Source organism: Homo sapiens, chromosome 17 (assembly GCF_000001405.40).
Source record: "Homo sapiens chromosome 17, GRCh38.p14 Primary Assembly".
Lineage (NCBI taxonomy): Eukaryota > Metazoa > Chordata > Mammalia > Primates > Hominidae > Homo > Homo sapiens.
Genome location: NC_000017.11, coordinates 12,368,210 through 12,384,810, shown reverse-complemented (window position 1 = coordinate 12,384,810; position 16,601 = coordinate 12,368,210). Strand labels below are relative to the sequence as shown.

The following is a 16,601-nucleotide window of genomic DNA, read 5'->3' as shown; positions in this document are numbered from 1 at the left end:
CCCCACATATCCAAAGAGAGAAGTGATTGGATTGTGGGGGGTGGTTTTCTCCATGCTGTCCTGGTGAGAGTGAGTGAATTCTCACGAGACCTGATGGTTTTATAAATGGCAGTTCTTCCTGCACTCTTGTGTCCAGAATTTATTCCTTCTGGTGGGTTCTTTGTCTCAATGACTTCAAGAATGAAGCCGCGGACCCTCGTGGTGAGTGTTACAGCTCTTAAAGATGGTGTGTCCGGAGTTTGTTCCTTCAGATGTTCAGATGTGTCTGGAGTTTCTTCCTTCCAGTGGGTTCGTGGTCTTGCTGACTTCAGGAGTGAAGCCACAGAGACTCGCAGTGAGTGTTACAGCTCTTAAAGGTAGTGCAGACCCAAACAGTGAGCAGCAGCAAGATTTATTGTGAAGAGCAAAACAACAAGGCTTCCACACCACAGAAGGGAACCCCAGTGGGTTGCTGCTGTTGGCTCAGGTGGCCAGCTTTTATTCCCTTATTTGGCCCTGCCCACATCCTGCTGATTGGTCCATTTTACAGAGTGCTGATTGATGCGTTTGCAAACCTTTAGCTAGACACAGAGTGCTGATTGGTGTGTTTTTACAGAGTGCTGACTGGTGCGTTTACAATCCTCTAGCTAGACAGAAAAGTTTTCCAAGTCCCCACTGGACTCAGGAAGTCCAGCTGGCTTCACCTGTCACTCTCACTCTACTCTCTCCTGCTACCTGTGAAGAAGGTGCCTGCTTCCCCTCCCGCCATGATAATAAGTTTCCTGAGGCCTCTCCAGCCATGCAGAACTGTGAGTCAATTAAACCTCCTTTGTTTCTTTATTTTTTATTTTATTTATTTATTTATTTATTTATTTATTTTGAGACAGAGTCTCGCTGTGTCGCCCAGGCTGGAGTGCAGTGGTGTGATCCTGGCTCACTGCAAGCTCCGCCTCCCAGGTTCACACCATTCTCCTGCCTCAGCCTCCCAAGTAGCTGGGACTACAGACACCCGCCATCATGCCTGGCTAATTTTTTGTATTTTTAGTAGAGACGGGGTTTCACCATGTTAGCCAGGATGGTCTCCATCTCCTGACCTCAGGTGATCCATCCGCCTCAGCCTCCTAAAGTGCTGGGATTACAGGCGTGAGCCACCACACCCAGCACCTCCTTTATTTATAAAGTACTCAGTCTCAGGTGTTTCTTTACAGCCTTGTGAAAACAGATTAATACATTCTCATATACTTTAAATCATCTTTAGATACAACACCTAATACCATGTAAATGCTATATAAATAGTTGTTACACTGTATTATTTGTATTAGTTTTTATTGTTGTATTGTTATTTTTATTGTTCTTTTAAAAATATTTTCCATCTGAGATTCATTAAATTTGCAGATGTGGAATAACCCATAGATACAGAGGGCTGACTGTACTGAAATTTTCTCATTTATGTTTCTCCAAAACTATGTGATTTAAGAAATGAGGAAAGTGTTTTACAGATGAAGAAACTGAGGCAAATTAAATAATAAACACATTAAATAATTTGCCTTCAGTCAAAAACATGATGTGACAGGAACAAATAAAAGTATGGAAAGAGACAGTCCTTCTTGGAAAGTGTCCTCATGTTGCTATTTTTTAGAATATTGTTGTTAAGGACCTGGTTTATCACTTCTTAACAGTAGGAGTCATGTAAACATGTCAGTCCCCCATGAAACTGTGACCTCTACCAGGACACTTATTTTCTCTTATTCATGCTGCCAACAACCCCCATCCCCACAGTATGTTGTATATCTTAGTCCCTTAGTAAATGTTTACTGAATAAGTAAAATACTATGAAGCAATTCTGCCAAATCTTCCTTTGATAGCCCTCAATTCGGATTCTTTTTTCCACCATCCTGTCAGAGGTGTTGGAACCAGAGTGACTCCATTTTGAATAGGGGCTGGGTAAAATAAGGTTGAGACCTGCTGGGCTGCATTCTAGTAAGCTAGGCATTCTAAGTCACAGGATGAGACAGGAGGTCGGCACAAGATATAGGTCATAAAGACCTTGCTGATAAAACAGGTTGCAGTAAAGAAGCTGGCCAAAACCCACCAAAACCAAGATAACGATGAAAATGACCTCTGGTCGTCCTCACTGCTCATTATACAGTAGTTATAATACATTGGCATGCTAAAAGACACTCCTACCAGCACTATGACAGTTTACAGATGTCATGGCAGTGTTCGGAATTTACCGTATATGATCTAAAAAGGGGAGAAACCCTTACCTCAGGGAATTGTCCATGCCTTTCCCAGGAAACTCATGAATAATCCACCCCTTAGTTAGCATATAACCAAGAAATAACTATAAAAATTGGGCAAACAGTGGCCCGTGCCTCTGTTCTGCCTGTGGAATGCTTTTTTTTTTTTTTTTTTTTTTTTTTTTTTTTGAGACAGAGTCTCTCTCCGTTGCCCAGGCTGGAGTGTGGTGGCACGATCTCGGCTCACGGCAAGCTCCGCCTCCCAGGTTCACCATTCTCCTGCCTCAGCCTCCCGAGTAGCTGGGACTACAGGTGCCCGCCACCACGCCTGGCTAAACTGGGCTAATTTTTTGTATTTTTAGTAGAGACAGGGTTTTACCGTGTTAGCCAGGATGGTTGTGATCTCCTGACCTCGTGATCCACCTGCCTTGGCCTCCCAAAGTGCTGGGATTACAGGCGTGAGCCACCATGCCTGGCCCTGAATAGCCATTCTTTTATTCCTTTACTTTCTTAATCAACTTGCTTTCACCTGATGGATTCACCTCGAATTCTTTCTTGCACGAGATCCCAGAATCCTCTCTTGGAGTCTGGATCAGGACCTCTTTCCTCTAACAATCCCACTACCACCACTATCCCAGTAAGGAGCAATTTAGGTAGAAAGTAGTAAGGAAGTTGTACAATGATAAGATCTCAAGGACTCTGCAAGTCTCTTAGCCAGTGATGCAACGAACAAAATTATTGACCCAGTAATCATTGTTTCCTTTCTGGTTTGGTCATAGCTGGGAAGAGCCAACCAACCAAATATGAATAAACCAAGGACAGATACAACCATTTAAGGGGAGAGTCAACCGTGCAGAACCCTTGCACCCCTGCGCGCCTTCCTCCAGCTCCACTCTACATACCTCAAGACAGAAATGTATAACCTTAAATACATAGATTAGAAAAAATACAGGCTAAAATCAATTATCTATTCATCTCAAAAGGCTAGAAAAAAAAGACAACTCCATTTCCTCAACTCAGAGAAAATGGAAGACTGGAAATAGTTAAGATAAAGACAGAAGAAGATAAAAAATCCAAAAGCACAGTATAAAAAGTGATATTATAAAAACTTTATGCCTATATATAAAAATTCAATAGAAGGGAAAAATTCCTGGTAAAATGAAAACCTATCAAATAGCTAGAAAAATGTTAAAAATCTGAAAAATTATGTATCTTTCAAAGAAATTGAGTATTGTAAACCAAAAAGTGTCGGAGACAGGTGTCAATCAATTTAGAAGTTTATTTTGTCAAGTTATGGATCATGACCCATGACACAGTCTCAGGAGGTTCTGAGCATATGCACCTGGGGTGGTTGAGTTACAGCTTGGTTTTAAATGTTTAAGACATCAATCAATACATGTGAGGCTTATATTGATTCAGGCTGGAAAGGCAAGACAGCTCAAAGTGGAGGAGTGGGGGTGATAGGTCATAGGTGGATTCAAAGATTTTCTGATTGGCAACTGGCTAAAAGAATTAAGTTATTATCTAAAGACCGGGAATCAACAGAAAGGAATGTTTGAGTTAAGATAAGGAGTTGTGGGCCGGGCGCGGTGGCTCACGCCTGTAATCCCAGCACTTTGGGAGGCCGAGGCGGGCGGATCACGAGGTCAGGATATCAAGACCATCCTGGCTAACATGGTGCAACCCCGTCTCTACTAAAAATACAAAAAATTAGCCGGGCGTGGTGGCGGGTGCCTGTAGTCCCAGCTACTCGGGAGGCTGAGGCAGGAGAATGGCGTGAACCCCGGGGGGCGGAGCCTGCAGTGAGCTGAGATGGCGCCACTGCACTCCAGCCTGGGCGACAGCGAGACTCCGTCTCAAAAAAAAAAAAAAAAAAAAAAAGATAAGGAGTTGTGGAGACCAAGGTTCTTATTATGTGGATACAGTCTCAGAGGTGGCCATCCCTCTGAGGCTGCCAGTAGATGGCAAATGTTTTATATTCAGACCTTTAAAAGGTGCGAGACTCTCAGTCAATCTCTTCAGGATCAGAAAAAGACCTAGAAAGGGAAGGGGGTTCTCTATAGTGTGTAAATTTTCCCCACAAGAGACAACTTTGCAGGACCGTTTCAAAATATTCAAAGAAATATATTTTGGGGAAAAATACTTTGGTTTCTTTTAGGGCCCTGCTGTCATGTGATAGCATCTATTATGCTAGACGGACTATTATGCTAGATGGACTGACTAGAGTTAGGTTGGAATTTGGTGTCTTATTGCTACAAAGAGCCTGTTCTGTCTTAGGATCTCCATTTTAATGTTAGTGCTGATCGGTCATGTGCCTGAATTCCAAAGGCAGGCGAGTATAATGAGGCATGTCTGACCATATCCCATTCTCCTCGTGGTCTGAACTAGTTTTTTGGGTTTAGTTGGGCCCCCTTAGCTGAAAGGATGATCCATTCAGTCAGCTGCGGGGCTTAGAATTTTGTTTTTGGCTTACAGTCTGTAACTAAAAATCTTCCAGCACAGAAACATCCAGGCCCAGATAGCTTTAGCATCTAATATTTAAAAATGTAAAAAAAAGACGTAACACCAATCTTATACATTCTTCCAGATAATTGAAACTTTGTAACTTTTAAAATAATACAAGCATAACCTTCATGCAGATGAGGACAGTATCACAAAGGAAAATTATAGGCTGATATCATTCATGAACTTTGATACAGTATCTTAGATAAAATATAAGAAAAAATAAGTAAACAGCAATATAAAAAGGAATAATACATTATAACCGAGTTGAGTGTATTTGAGAAATGCAAGGTTGGTTTAATGTTTAAAAATAAATTCATTTAAATCACATCATTAGCATAATTCAGAAAATTATGTAGTCATAATAGATGCAGAAAACATTTGATAAAATGCAATATTCCTTCATGATACTAAAAAAATCACTTGGCAGAGTAAGCAGAGAAGGAAATTTTTTTAATCTAAGAGAGGGTATGTATCAAAATCTACAGCAAATATTACACTTAATGGTAAAATATTGAAAACATTCATCTAGAATCCAAAACATGAACAGGCACATCTGTCAACATTTTGCTGGTGACCATCCTACTTAATAAGGAAAGGGACAAAAAAGATATACATATTAGAAAGGAAGAAAAAGGCTACTTATGACTTTATACTTAGAAAGTCTCAAAAAATCAACAGCTTCACTACCCAAATTAGAAACTGGATTCAGCAGAGTTGCTGGATATAGGACTAATATATAAAAATCAAGTGCATTTAACAAACATGTATTGAGCACTTTCTATGTACTAAGGACTGTGGCCACAGCTTAAAGAGACTTAGAAACGATTTCTTACAATACAGAGCGATAGGTGCTATTATGGAAGAATGCAAAAGGCAAAACAGCAAACCTTTTTAAGTCAAGCTTAGAGGGCAGGGAAGGCTTCCCTGAGAAGGTGATTTTTAAGGCATATGTTGAAGGATGAGCAGAAATCTCCCAGGTGATGAAAAATGCATAGAAAAGACACCAAGTAGGCAGAAGAGAATGTGCAAAGGCATAAATCAAAGTGCAGATTGGAAAAGTAAGCTACCTTCTTACCAGTCTGTGACAAATGTGAGCCTCTACCAGGTGATTCACAGTAGGCACTCAATAAACATTTGGCAGATGGATTCATGGTGAGTAAGAATTCCCTTAACCAAAGTCCACCCAGCCAGTGTTCTAGATTAACTAACACCATTTATTCCCCCTAAAGTATACTAATGGCTTCCCAGAGCACTCTGAATTCAAAGATAGTAAGCAATACACCCTTGCTGAGATGGTTAATTTTATGCATCAATTTGGCTGGGCCATGGGATGTCCATATATCTGATTAAACATTATTTCTGGGTCTGTCTCTGAGGGTGTTTCCAGAGGACATTAACATTTGAATTGATGGACCAAGTGCTTTAGCTTCAACATTGATCTTCTCCATTCTCTGTTCTCCTACAAAGGAATTTTACCAAGAAAACTTTTAGCAAAAGGAGCCAGACAGGAACGAAACCATACAGTATAACATTTACATAAAGTTCACAAACAGGCCAGGCACGGTGGCTCACGCCTGTAATCCCAGCACTTTGGGAGGCCAAGGCGGGCGGATCACAAAGTCAGGAGATCGAGACCATCCTGGCTAACACGGTGAAATCCCGTCTCTACTCAAAATACAAAAAATTAGCCAGGCGTGGTGGCGGGCGCCTGTAGTCCCAGCTACTTGGGAGGCTGAGGCAGGAGAATGGCGTGAACTTGGGAGGCGGAGCTTGCAGTGAGCCAAGATGGTGCCACTGCACTCCAGCCTGGGTGACAGAGCGAGACTCTGTCTCAAAAAATAAAACAAAAAAAAAAGGTCACAGACAGACAAAACTAGTCTGTGGTGTTTTAGGTCAAGACAGTGGTTATCTTTGAGTAGAAAGTTCAGGATAGTGATGGGAAGGGCTCACAGGTGGGGGCCTCTCAGGTGCTGGCAATATTCTATTTATTGGTCTGTTTGGTATTTACATGGGTATTTCCTTCACTTTGTGATCATTCATTAACCGTTTTTTCTGATTAGAAAAAAAAGTGCAGCTTCCTGCCAGCCTTCTTTGAATTTTACATAAACACATTCTTTGAGGCTGAAACAAATCTGACTGATTTTCAATAGAAAAATAAAATATAAAAACTGTTCTTCTTGGAGTTGTTTCTAAACAGAATTAACATCAGAACTGTCTGAATCAGGAGAATCATCTATTTCGGAAAAATTGGATTTATCAAATGAATCTTCGGCCAGCAAGTGTTGGAGAATGATGTTAACCTCACACATAGGAATGCTACATTTTCTAGGATTTGACATTTTCAGTGACTGAGAATTACTATATTTTCTAAATGGAAATATCACTACTAAAAACAGAAGCTATAAATACAATGATTTTGTATTCAAAGCTGATACACTAGAGCAATGCAATAATAATAATAAAAGCAAGATATTTTGTCGCAAAGTTATCTCAGGATAATTGCTGCAGCCGCCAGTGCCGCTGGTAGTATTCTCGGGAAAAACGAGAAAAGGGTTAAGCTGTGTACACTGAGGACTGGTATACTTTTCTGAATGTGTGTGATAGAGACAGGAAGCAGCCAAGGGTCCCCGGCGAAACTCTGCCTTCAAGTCTAAAACAGCCTGACGACTGAAAAACTGGACTTCTGGTCCTGGATGAAGCCTGCCCTTTCTGGACTGATTCTTTGTGAATAATGCTTACCTGCACACTGGGAGGATGGGGTGGAGCCTCGGAAAGTTCATGCCATTTGAGATGGGAATGGGCCTGGCCTGGCCTGGCCTGGCCTGGCCTGACCTGTTCCTGTGTGGTGACCTGGGATTCAATCTGTGAGGCAGGAAACCTGCTAGCAGGACTCTATCTCGCTTTACTGAGAGTTTTGTTTTTTTTTTCCTTTTTGCCCAATAAATTTCATTTTCCTCACCCTTCTATGTGTCTGCGAGCCTCATCTTTCCTGGCCATGTGACAAGAGCCTGGTTTTAGCTGAACTAAGGAGAAAGTTCTGCAACATCTGGTGCACTCTAATTAAACATTTTATTAAAAAACAATTACAACATTTGTCATACCGCTTTCAATATTATCCTCTACTATGCCTAAGGGGGGCTTTCTGAGACTCTGTCTTTATATCTCCTGGTGAAACAAAGGTGGCAAAGATGGCTGTCAAGCAAACCTGCACTCCCCTTCATGGGTACACAGATCAAGCTCAGAACTGACGGCCAGCTAGGGACTACATTTCCCAGCCTCCATTGCAGCCTTTCTGACCATAACTGGTTTTCATTAATAAACAAAGGGATAAGTGTCACTCTGGGCCAAAACTTTCAAGAAACAAAACAAGTATTCCTCCGCATACCATCTTTTCCTTTTCAGCAGCTAAACGCAGACAGTGATGGAGATACAAAGTCATAAGAGAGAAGAGGCCTGACTTGCTACATGGAAGAGAGCTGTCTGCTGACCAGGGATACCTAACTTGAGTGGTTATATGAGCAAATGAAAACTTTCGTCATGCTGAAGTCACTAAATTTGGGGCTTCTGTTTATTCACAGTAGCTTACGCTATCCAAAATTACTTTCCTGGTATTTCTCTAGGGAAAAATTTGAATTTTCTTCTCTTTTCTTTTTTCCCCGTTTCTTCCCCCAACCCCTCCCCCCTCCCCCCTCCCCCTCCCCCCTCCCTCCTCCCCCTTCACCCCATCTGTCTCTCTCTCTCTTTTTTTCTCTCTTTCTCTCTCTCCTTTCCTTTCTTTTTATACAATTTTTATTCAGGTGACAGTTGATTTTGATTTTGTTACTACCACTGTGTTACATTTTTCTAAGATCTGATTTATAACAGTTTGCAAACTCTTCTGTCATGTCTAATCTGCTATTTAATTCATTGATTTAATTTATTTCAATTACTTTACCTTTTATGTTTCCAGAAGTTCTACTTGGTTCGTCTTTGAAACTGCCAGATCAGTTTTTTAAGAGTTGCTTATTTCCAGAAGAAGATACTTCTAATCATGTATTTTAAAAAATATATATATAGTAGAGAACAGTTGTTTTATTATCTCTTTTTGGTAATTCCAATATCTAAACACTTTTGAGTCTACACCATCAGTCGTTTCTGCTGCTTCTTGGTCATGGTACCATATTTCCTGGTGTGCTCAGTTAGTTTTGTTGTAAATACTCATTTTCCTTGGAAAATTTTTTGTGAAACTTCTTTGAAACGGAGGAAAAGATAATTTGCTTTTGCCTCAGCCAGGTGTTGGGGGCACTACTAACTAATTCTGGACCATTTTTAAATGAATTAGCAAATCAAGTTGTAACTGACAACCAGGTGTTCTGGATGTGTTTGGGAAATCCACACAAGGGAAAGATTGTGATTACAACTTCCTAGGGATAGTTTTCACCTGTTCTGTTCAATGCCAAACAAACAAACATTTCCCTGCAGTCCCCTGGAACTAGAATGGAAAATTTACATCTAATTCACTTTCCCTTAAGGGTTTGACTCTTAGGGATCCCCGTTTTATGATAGAAGCATCTTCTCTTAGATGTGCACTTTGAGCAGTCTTTTGAGTTTGTTTGTTGTTTCTAGTTTGAATACCCTTCAGTTACAAAGAATGTTTACCTATTTGCCAAATGCCCTCAAGGATAACGTTGCTTCAAGGCTCTGCTTACTTCTCTCAGATCCTTTAGACTGTGGCCTCCTAATCTCTTACAACCTGGTCATTTCTTTGATGCTGTTAAGCATAATTTTTAATGAATATGTTCTCCATAAATTTTAGGTTTTAGCAGGAGAATTGGTCCTAATAACATAACCTGCCATAATATTAGAAAGCACTAAATAAAGATTCTTGGGGAAAAACAGACAAACAATAAGAGAAAATCTAATATTGACCTGAAATTTAAAGTTCTAAACTATGTCTTAAAACATAGGAGTTAGAGGACAGGGTGGAGGGAGAAAATAAAAATATTCTAATTAGCATTGGGGAAGTAGGTCAGTAAGAAAGCATCTTAATGGGGAAAGGTGGGAGTTTTGTACTTCTGTAGAATAGTGGAAAATATACATGATTAGGAGAGTCAAACATGAAATGCCACTAGCAGAATGAAAAAAATACAGTCGTATTTTCAAAAGATAAGAAAAAAATAGAATGAATGACAAAATCAGCTACAAAATAAAACTAAATAAAGGAGAATCACAAAGTAAATAAATATTAAACATAAAGATGGGCCTAATAAAATTAAGTATCATATGTTAAAGTAAATGTGGATAGAATGAATTATCCCATTAAATAACTAAGACTGTCATATTGAGTTAAAAAACAAAACCCAGATATATGCTGTTTATAAGGAGAATTCTTAAAAATGGAAAAGAAATTTTGAAAATAAAAGGATAAACAGAGAGATGTCAAGCAAATGCAAACAAAAAGAAAGCAGGAGTGACAATATTAATATCACACAGGGTGGAACTTAAGGTTAAAAGCACTAAACAAAATACAGAGGAACATTGTGTAATAATAAAAGACAATTTATGAAGAAGAAACAATAATCATAAAGCTGCATGTCCTATAAAAATATAGCACCTAAGTATACAATATTATTAGAGGTTCAAATAATTTTTGGCTTAAAAAACAACTATCATGAAACAGTTCCAATGATTTTTCCTTCTGAATCAGATGGTTCTGGTATACCAAAAAAAAAAATAAAAAATAAAAACTAAAGTTATTTGGGCACAAAAGAACTAAGGAATATATAAAGACATATATGTTTTCCCTCATGTCCATAGACCCTCTACTGAAATCAATTACATAATTGGCCACAAATAAAGCTTACAAATTCAAAGAGGCAGAGTGTTTTTAGGCTATATTACCTGAATATAATCCAATAAACTTAGTTAGAAATAAAGAATATGAGTGGAAAAAACCTTTAATAGTTGGAAATTAGGAAACATACTTCTAAATAACTCTTGGAACAAAGAAATAGGAAATCAAAATTGAAAACACAAGCTAGCTGGATAAAAAAAAAAAAAAGAATATATCATACCAAAATATGTATAGCTGTAGAAGCTATCCTGAAAGGAAAATTAATAGCCCTAAATGCTTTTATTAGTGCAGGTAAGAATTAGAGCTAATTTATTTGAAAATAGAACTAGAAGAAAAGTAATAAATAAATCAACAAGTTTGATTTGGGGGTAAGAAGAAACAATAAAATAGGCAAACTTCTAGCAAATGCAATCAGGGAAAAAAGCAAAACTAAAGAAAGTAAAATTAAAATCAAGACATGGAACATAGTAACAAATGCAGAGGGTAAGTAAATATCACATTCCAATCAATCCATACGATTTCTAACTGATGAAATTCATCATGATTTGAAAACTGTGAAATCACTAGAATGTTTCTCCCCAAAGCCCTGTAAACCTGAATAGATTAGAAGGAACTGAAAAGATGTTGAAAAGATGTTCAAAGAATTTACCATCTAACAAGATTCAGGGCTAAAAATGTGTCAAGAAGAGAGCCAATGTACTAAAGACCAAAAATATTTAAGACTATATAAACATTTCAGGGTCCTGATCCATTATTTAAATTTAAAAAAAACTAATTATTGTAGCAGAAAAGAGAAATTATAGGCCATTCTAATGTATGAAGTTTAAAAAATCCTCAATCAAATACTCAGAAAAAGAATTCATCAGAAAATTAAAAGAATGCTCTTAACAAGATTTAGCTAAAGGACATAAATGATTTAATACGAAGAAATACAATAATTAAATGCACCGCACTTTTTTTCTCAACAGTCATAAGGCAATCACAAATTCACACGATAACTAATAAAAATAGAAATAAAAACTATTAATAAAGGAAACTTACTTTAATTGTAAATTATAAAATGCTGTGAGGGGTCTTTTAGAAGTTCATGAAAATGCATATTATGAAAAAACTTTGCATGGATTTCAAAATTTTTTTGCACCACGATAAACTCATACTAACTTGTTATAACATGTCTGAATAAGATCCACTGTGAGGCACTAAGATGAATATGACATCAATTTGAAAAGTCCTTATCAGAACAACATGAATTCTGCTAAAATTGAGGCAAGAACAAAATCAAATTTATGGTAAAGCTTTTGTAGAAGAATAATGAAAAATAGTTGATTCTTTATGAAAAGTTTACGGGGACAATGCCCCAAAGAAAACAGCAGTTTACGTAGAAGAGCTTGCTATAAGAAGAGACAAGACAATTATGAAGATGAAGAAAGCAGCAGCAAACCATTCACATCAATTTGTGAGAACAAAAATTAATCTAGTTCATGCCCTAATTGAAGAGGACTGATGATTAACAGCAGAAATAAGAGCCAACACCATAGACATCTCAATTGGTTCAGCTTATATAATTCTGACTGAAAAAGTTTACCAAACTTTTCACTCAATAGCTATCAAAACCATTGTGCCTAGGTCAACTGTAGACAAGAGCAGAGCTTTATATAGAAATTCCAAATTAGTGGGATCAAGATGCTGAAGCATTTCTTTAAAGCATGTAACAGGAAATCAAATATGGCCTTCCTAATACTATCCTGAATACAATAAGCAATCAAAGCAGTGGCTACCAAGAGGTAGAAGTGGTCCAGTCAAAGCAGAAGCGGACGGACGGGTCAAGAGCAAGGATCGTGGCCAAGGATTTTGTGGGATGCTCAAGGCATTTTGCTTGCTGATTTCTAGAGAGCCAAAGAAAAATAACACTTGCTTATTATAAGAGTGTTTTGAGAAAGTTAGCCAGATCTTTAGCAGAGAAACACCCAGGTAAGCTTCCCCAGGAGAATCCTTCTCCACCACGACAATGCTCCTGCTCACTTGTCTCATCAATCAAGGACAATTTTGCAGGCATTTCGATGGGAAATCATTAGGCATCCACTTTACAGTCCTGATTTGGCTCCTTCTGACTTCTTTTTGTTTCCCAATTAAAAAAAAAATCTTTAAAAGGCACCTGTTTTTCTTCAGTTAATAATGTAAAAAAGGCTGCATGGACATGCTTAAATATCCAGGATCCTCAGCTCCTTAGGGATGGACTAAATAGCTGGTATCAGCACTTTAAAAAGTGTCTTGAACATGATGAAGCTTATATTGAGAAATAAAGTTTGTATTTTTTTATCTTTTAATTTTATTTTCCACAAACTTTTCAAAGTACCCTTGTATGTAAGGATTACTACCTTCATGTTACTTAGTGCAAGTCTCTACATTTGTGGTGGGTGGCCAGTAAATGTTCATCCAATTGAACTAAATGCTTAGTGCCAAATGAATGGTCTATGCAGTAAACAGTCTACAGTTTCAGAGGAGAGAAACTCACTAAAGCCTGCATTGGTCAGGCATGGGAAAAGAGGTTAGATTCAGCATCATTTCCATTTACAAATCCAAGAGGAAGGCATTCCCCAAGGAGGGGATGTCAGAAGCACAAAATTCAGAGTAACGGAATTAAGAAACAGTTTTAAGACTGTTATTTATCCTGCCAGCACAGGGAGCCATTGACATTTTTGTCAGGGGTGTGAAATGTACCAAGTTCTATTTTAGGGATATGCATTTGAAAGGAGTATGGATTCAAACACAAACGGGCAGTATGATGTATTAACAGTCTATATTGTAACAGTTCAGATCAGGCCCAGTGTTCTATAGAACAGTGAAATGTACCAAGTTCTATTTTAGGGATATTCATTTGAAGGGAGTACGGATTCAAACACAAATGGGCAGTATGATGTATTAACAGTCTATATTGTAATAGTTCAGGTCAGGACCAGTGTTATATAGAAGAGGGAATTGGAGAGAAGGGATAGGTTCTGCTCTGTGAAAAGCCTATACATTAGTCCTCCATTATTCAAAGTTTCTCTTTCTGCAGTTGTCACTTAGTAGCCCTCTCTGTTATCAGATCTATTGCCACAATATTATGGAACTTGTACTCAAGTAACCCTTATTTGACTTAGTAATGACTCCAAAGCACAAGAGTGGTGATGCTGGCAATTTGGATATCCCAAAGGGAAATAATAAAGTGCTTCCTGGGCTGGGCATGGTGGCTCATGCCTGTAATCCCAGCACTTTGGAAGGCTGAGGCGGGCAGATCACCTGAGGTCAGGAGTTCAAGACCAGCCTGGCCAGCATGGTGAAACCTCATCTCTACTAAAAATACAAAAATTAGCTGGGCATGGTGGCTGGTACCTTTAATCCCAGGTACTCGGGAGGCTGAGGCAGGAGAATCGCTTGAACCTGGGAGGCGGAGGTTGCAGTGAGCCGAGATTACGCCACTGCACTCCGGCCTGGGCAACAGAGTGAGACTCTGTCTCAATAATAATAATAATAATAATAATAATAATAATAATAATAATAATAATAAATAAATAAAGTGCTTCCTTTAAGTAAAATGTGACCTTGGCTAGGGTCTGTTACTATCCATAGTTTCAAGCTCCTGCTGAGGGTCTTGGAAGGTATCCCCAGAGGATAAGTGCAGACTGCTACAGTGTCCTTCCCCACCCCAAATCCCTGACTTCATTTTTCTACATCAGTTCAAAGACATGCACCTGACACCTTCCTCTCTCTGCTTCTCCACGGCCACACCATCGTCAAGTCTTGTTGATTTTACATCTTAACTCTCTCAAATCATCTGCTATGTCTCTTTGTTGCCACCGCTTGCATCCTTTCCCATCTGGACTGTCATAAGTTCTCAGCTGCTTTTCCACATCTTCTCCAGCCCCCTTAAAATCTGTTCTTCAAATCAAACATTGGATGATTTTAACTGAAATTATAATATTCCCTTTCTCTCTCTGACACACGCGCGCGCGCACACACACACACACACACACGTACCCTACAGGTTAAGTATCCCTTATCTCAAATGTTTGGGAGAAGAGGCATCTCCAATTTTGGATTTTGAAGTACTTCCATATACATAATAAGGTATCTTAGGGATGGAACTCAAGTCTAAACATAAAATTCCTCTGTGTTTCATATACACCTTATCCACCTAGCTTGAAAGTAATTTTATAAAATATTTTAAATTATATTTTGTGTATGAAGCCAAGTTTGTGTACATCAGACCATCGGAAGGCAACCTCAGCCACCCATATGGTTCTACGTGAACACTCAAAGATTTGGATTTTAGAGCATTTTGGATTATTTGGGTTAGGGATGTTCAACCTGTACTAGTATGCTGTAGCTAGTAGTTGCCAGTAACTAGTCATTGAGCTGCTAGGATATCCAGGCACAATTGTAGACATCGAAAACAGCAATTTTCCTTGCCCCACAGAGGTACTATCTAGTACAGCAGGCAGAAAATAAAGAAAAGAGTAAAAAAACCAATTCAGTTATGAATAAATATTAGCATGAGCAATCAAGCAGGATCAAGAGATAGAGCAGGATGAGGAAAATTCTTCGGGCCTGGGGAGCCAGGGGAAGTTTCCATGAGTGGTACATTTGAGCAGGTGTTGATTAAATACTTAACAATGATGTAGGGAAGGATGGAAAGAAGAAAATTGGGGGCTACAGCACATCCACCTTCGCATGCTGACTGTGGTTTCACAAGGGATTTACCTGATTTTTGGAAGAATTTTAAACCTGCAGCTTGATTTCAATCACTATAACTTCATTTATGCTGTAAGCACTGAGAAGATAATAAACATTCTCCCAGGAATCAAGTGATCAGGTTTGTCTGGTTAATTTTAGAATGCTAAAAAAAAAGTTGGACTGCAAGAATAGGAACTATATTGGAAACTACATTCTCAAGGAGACCTTTTTTTAGGTAAATAAAAGTCACTTGGCTCTTAGTGACTGTATTACACATAGTTTCCTCAGATTTTTCTAGTACTAAACCCTGTGGAAATATATATAACTGACTTAGAAAAATAAAATGTGGCTCTTATTCTGCCTGTCCCTTTGTTGCTGTTGGTTTTTCCACTTCTAGAAGCTTTCATAAACAATTCTCAGGGCAATTTAAATTAGAGAAAGAGCCTCCAGCCTCTGGACCACACCTCAGCTTTCAGTGTAATTCTAGAAAACATGTCACAGTCCAAATAAGAAAATTAACACATTGTCCCCTATTAAAGCCAATTTTTGCCTAAATAAATGAAATATGAACATTTTATGTCCAAATGTCTTGGGAATTTTAGAAGATTACCCATTGTACAAAATAAGACCTCTTCTCAAGAGAGTTGGCTTTCTGGTATATAGATAACTTCATAATAAAACTCAGTATCCTATTTTGACAGGATATCCCAAAAAAGATCCTTCACAAAGGTTACTCAAGTCCCAAGAGAGGAACCATAATTGGGGTTCAGTTAAGAAAAAAACAGGAGGCCAGGTGCAGTGGCTCACACCTATATATAATCCCAGCACTTTGGAGGCCAAGGTGGGTGGATCTCTTGAGGCCAGGAGTTTGAGACCTGCCTGGCCAACATGGCCAAACCTGTCTCTACTAAAATAAATAAATAAAAAATAAAAAGTATCCAGGTATGTTGGCACACACCTGTAAATCCCACCTACTCAGGGAGGCTGAGGCACGAGAATTGCTTGAACCCAGGAGGTGGAAGTTGCAGTGAACCAAGATCATGCCACTGTACTCCAGCCTGGGCAACAGAGCGAGACTCTGCCTCAAAAAAAAAAAAAAAAAAGAATGGTTGTGTTAAAACTCATTAATATAAGAAACTTTAGAGCTGTTGTAATCGCTTTGTAAAATGTGAGATGAATACCAAAAATGCCAGAAGCTTTGAATAAACCATTCCATGCAATAAAAAGGATTTTTTGCAAATGGAAATGCAAATGGGACAACAGAAAAAACTCCAGAGGTTGTTTGTTACAGATATGCAGCATTTCACAGAACAAATTTTACCTAAGAA

At 38.6% G+C, this 16,601-nt stretch overlaps 1 annotated feature.

Moving 5' to 3' along the window:
* Positions 267-470: a silencer, noted in NCBI's record as "fragment chr17:12287658-12287861 (GRCh37/hg19 assembly coordinates)". NCBI's record gives its function as "represses an EF-1alpha promoter that drives an FKBP-Casp9 reporter gene in an ReSE screen in K562 erythroleukemia cells {active_cell/tissue: K562}" and the evidence as "EXISTENCE:reporter gene assay evidence [ECO:0000049][PMID:32094911]".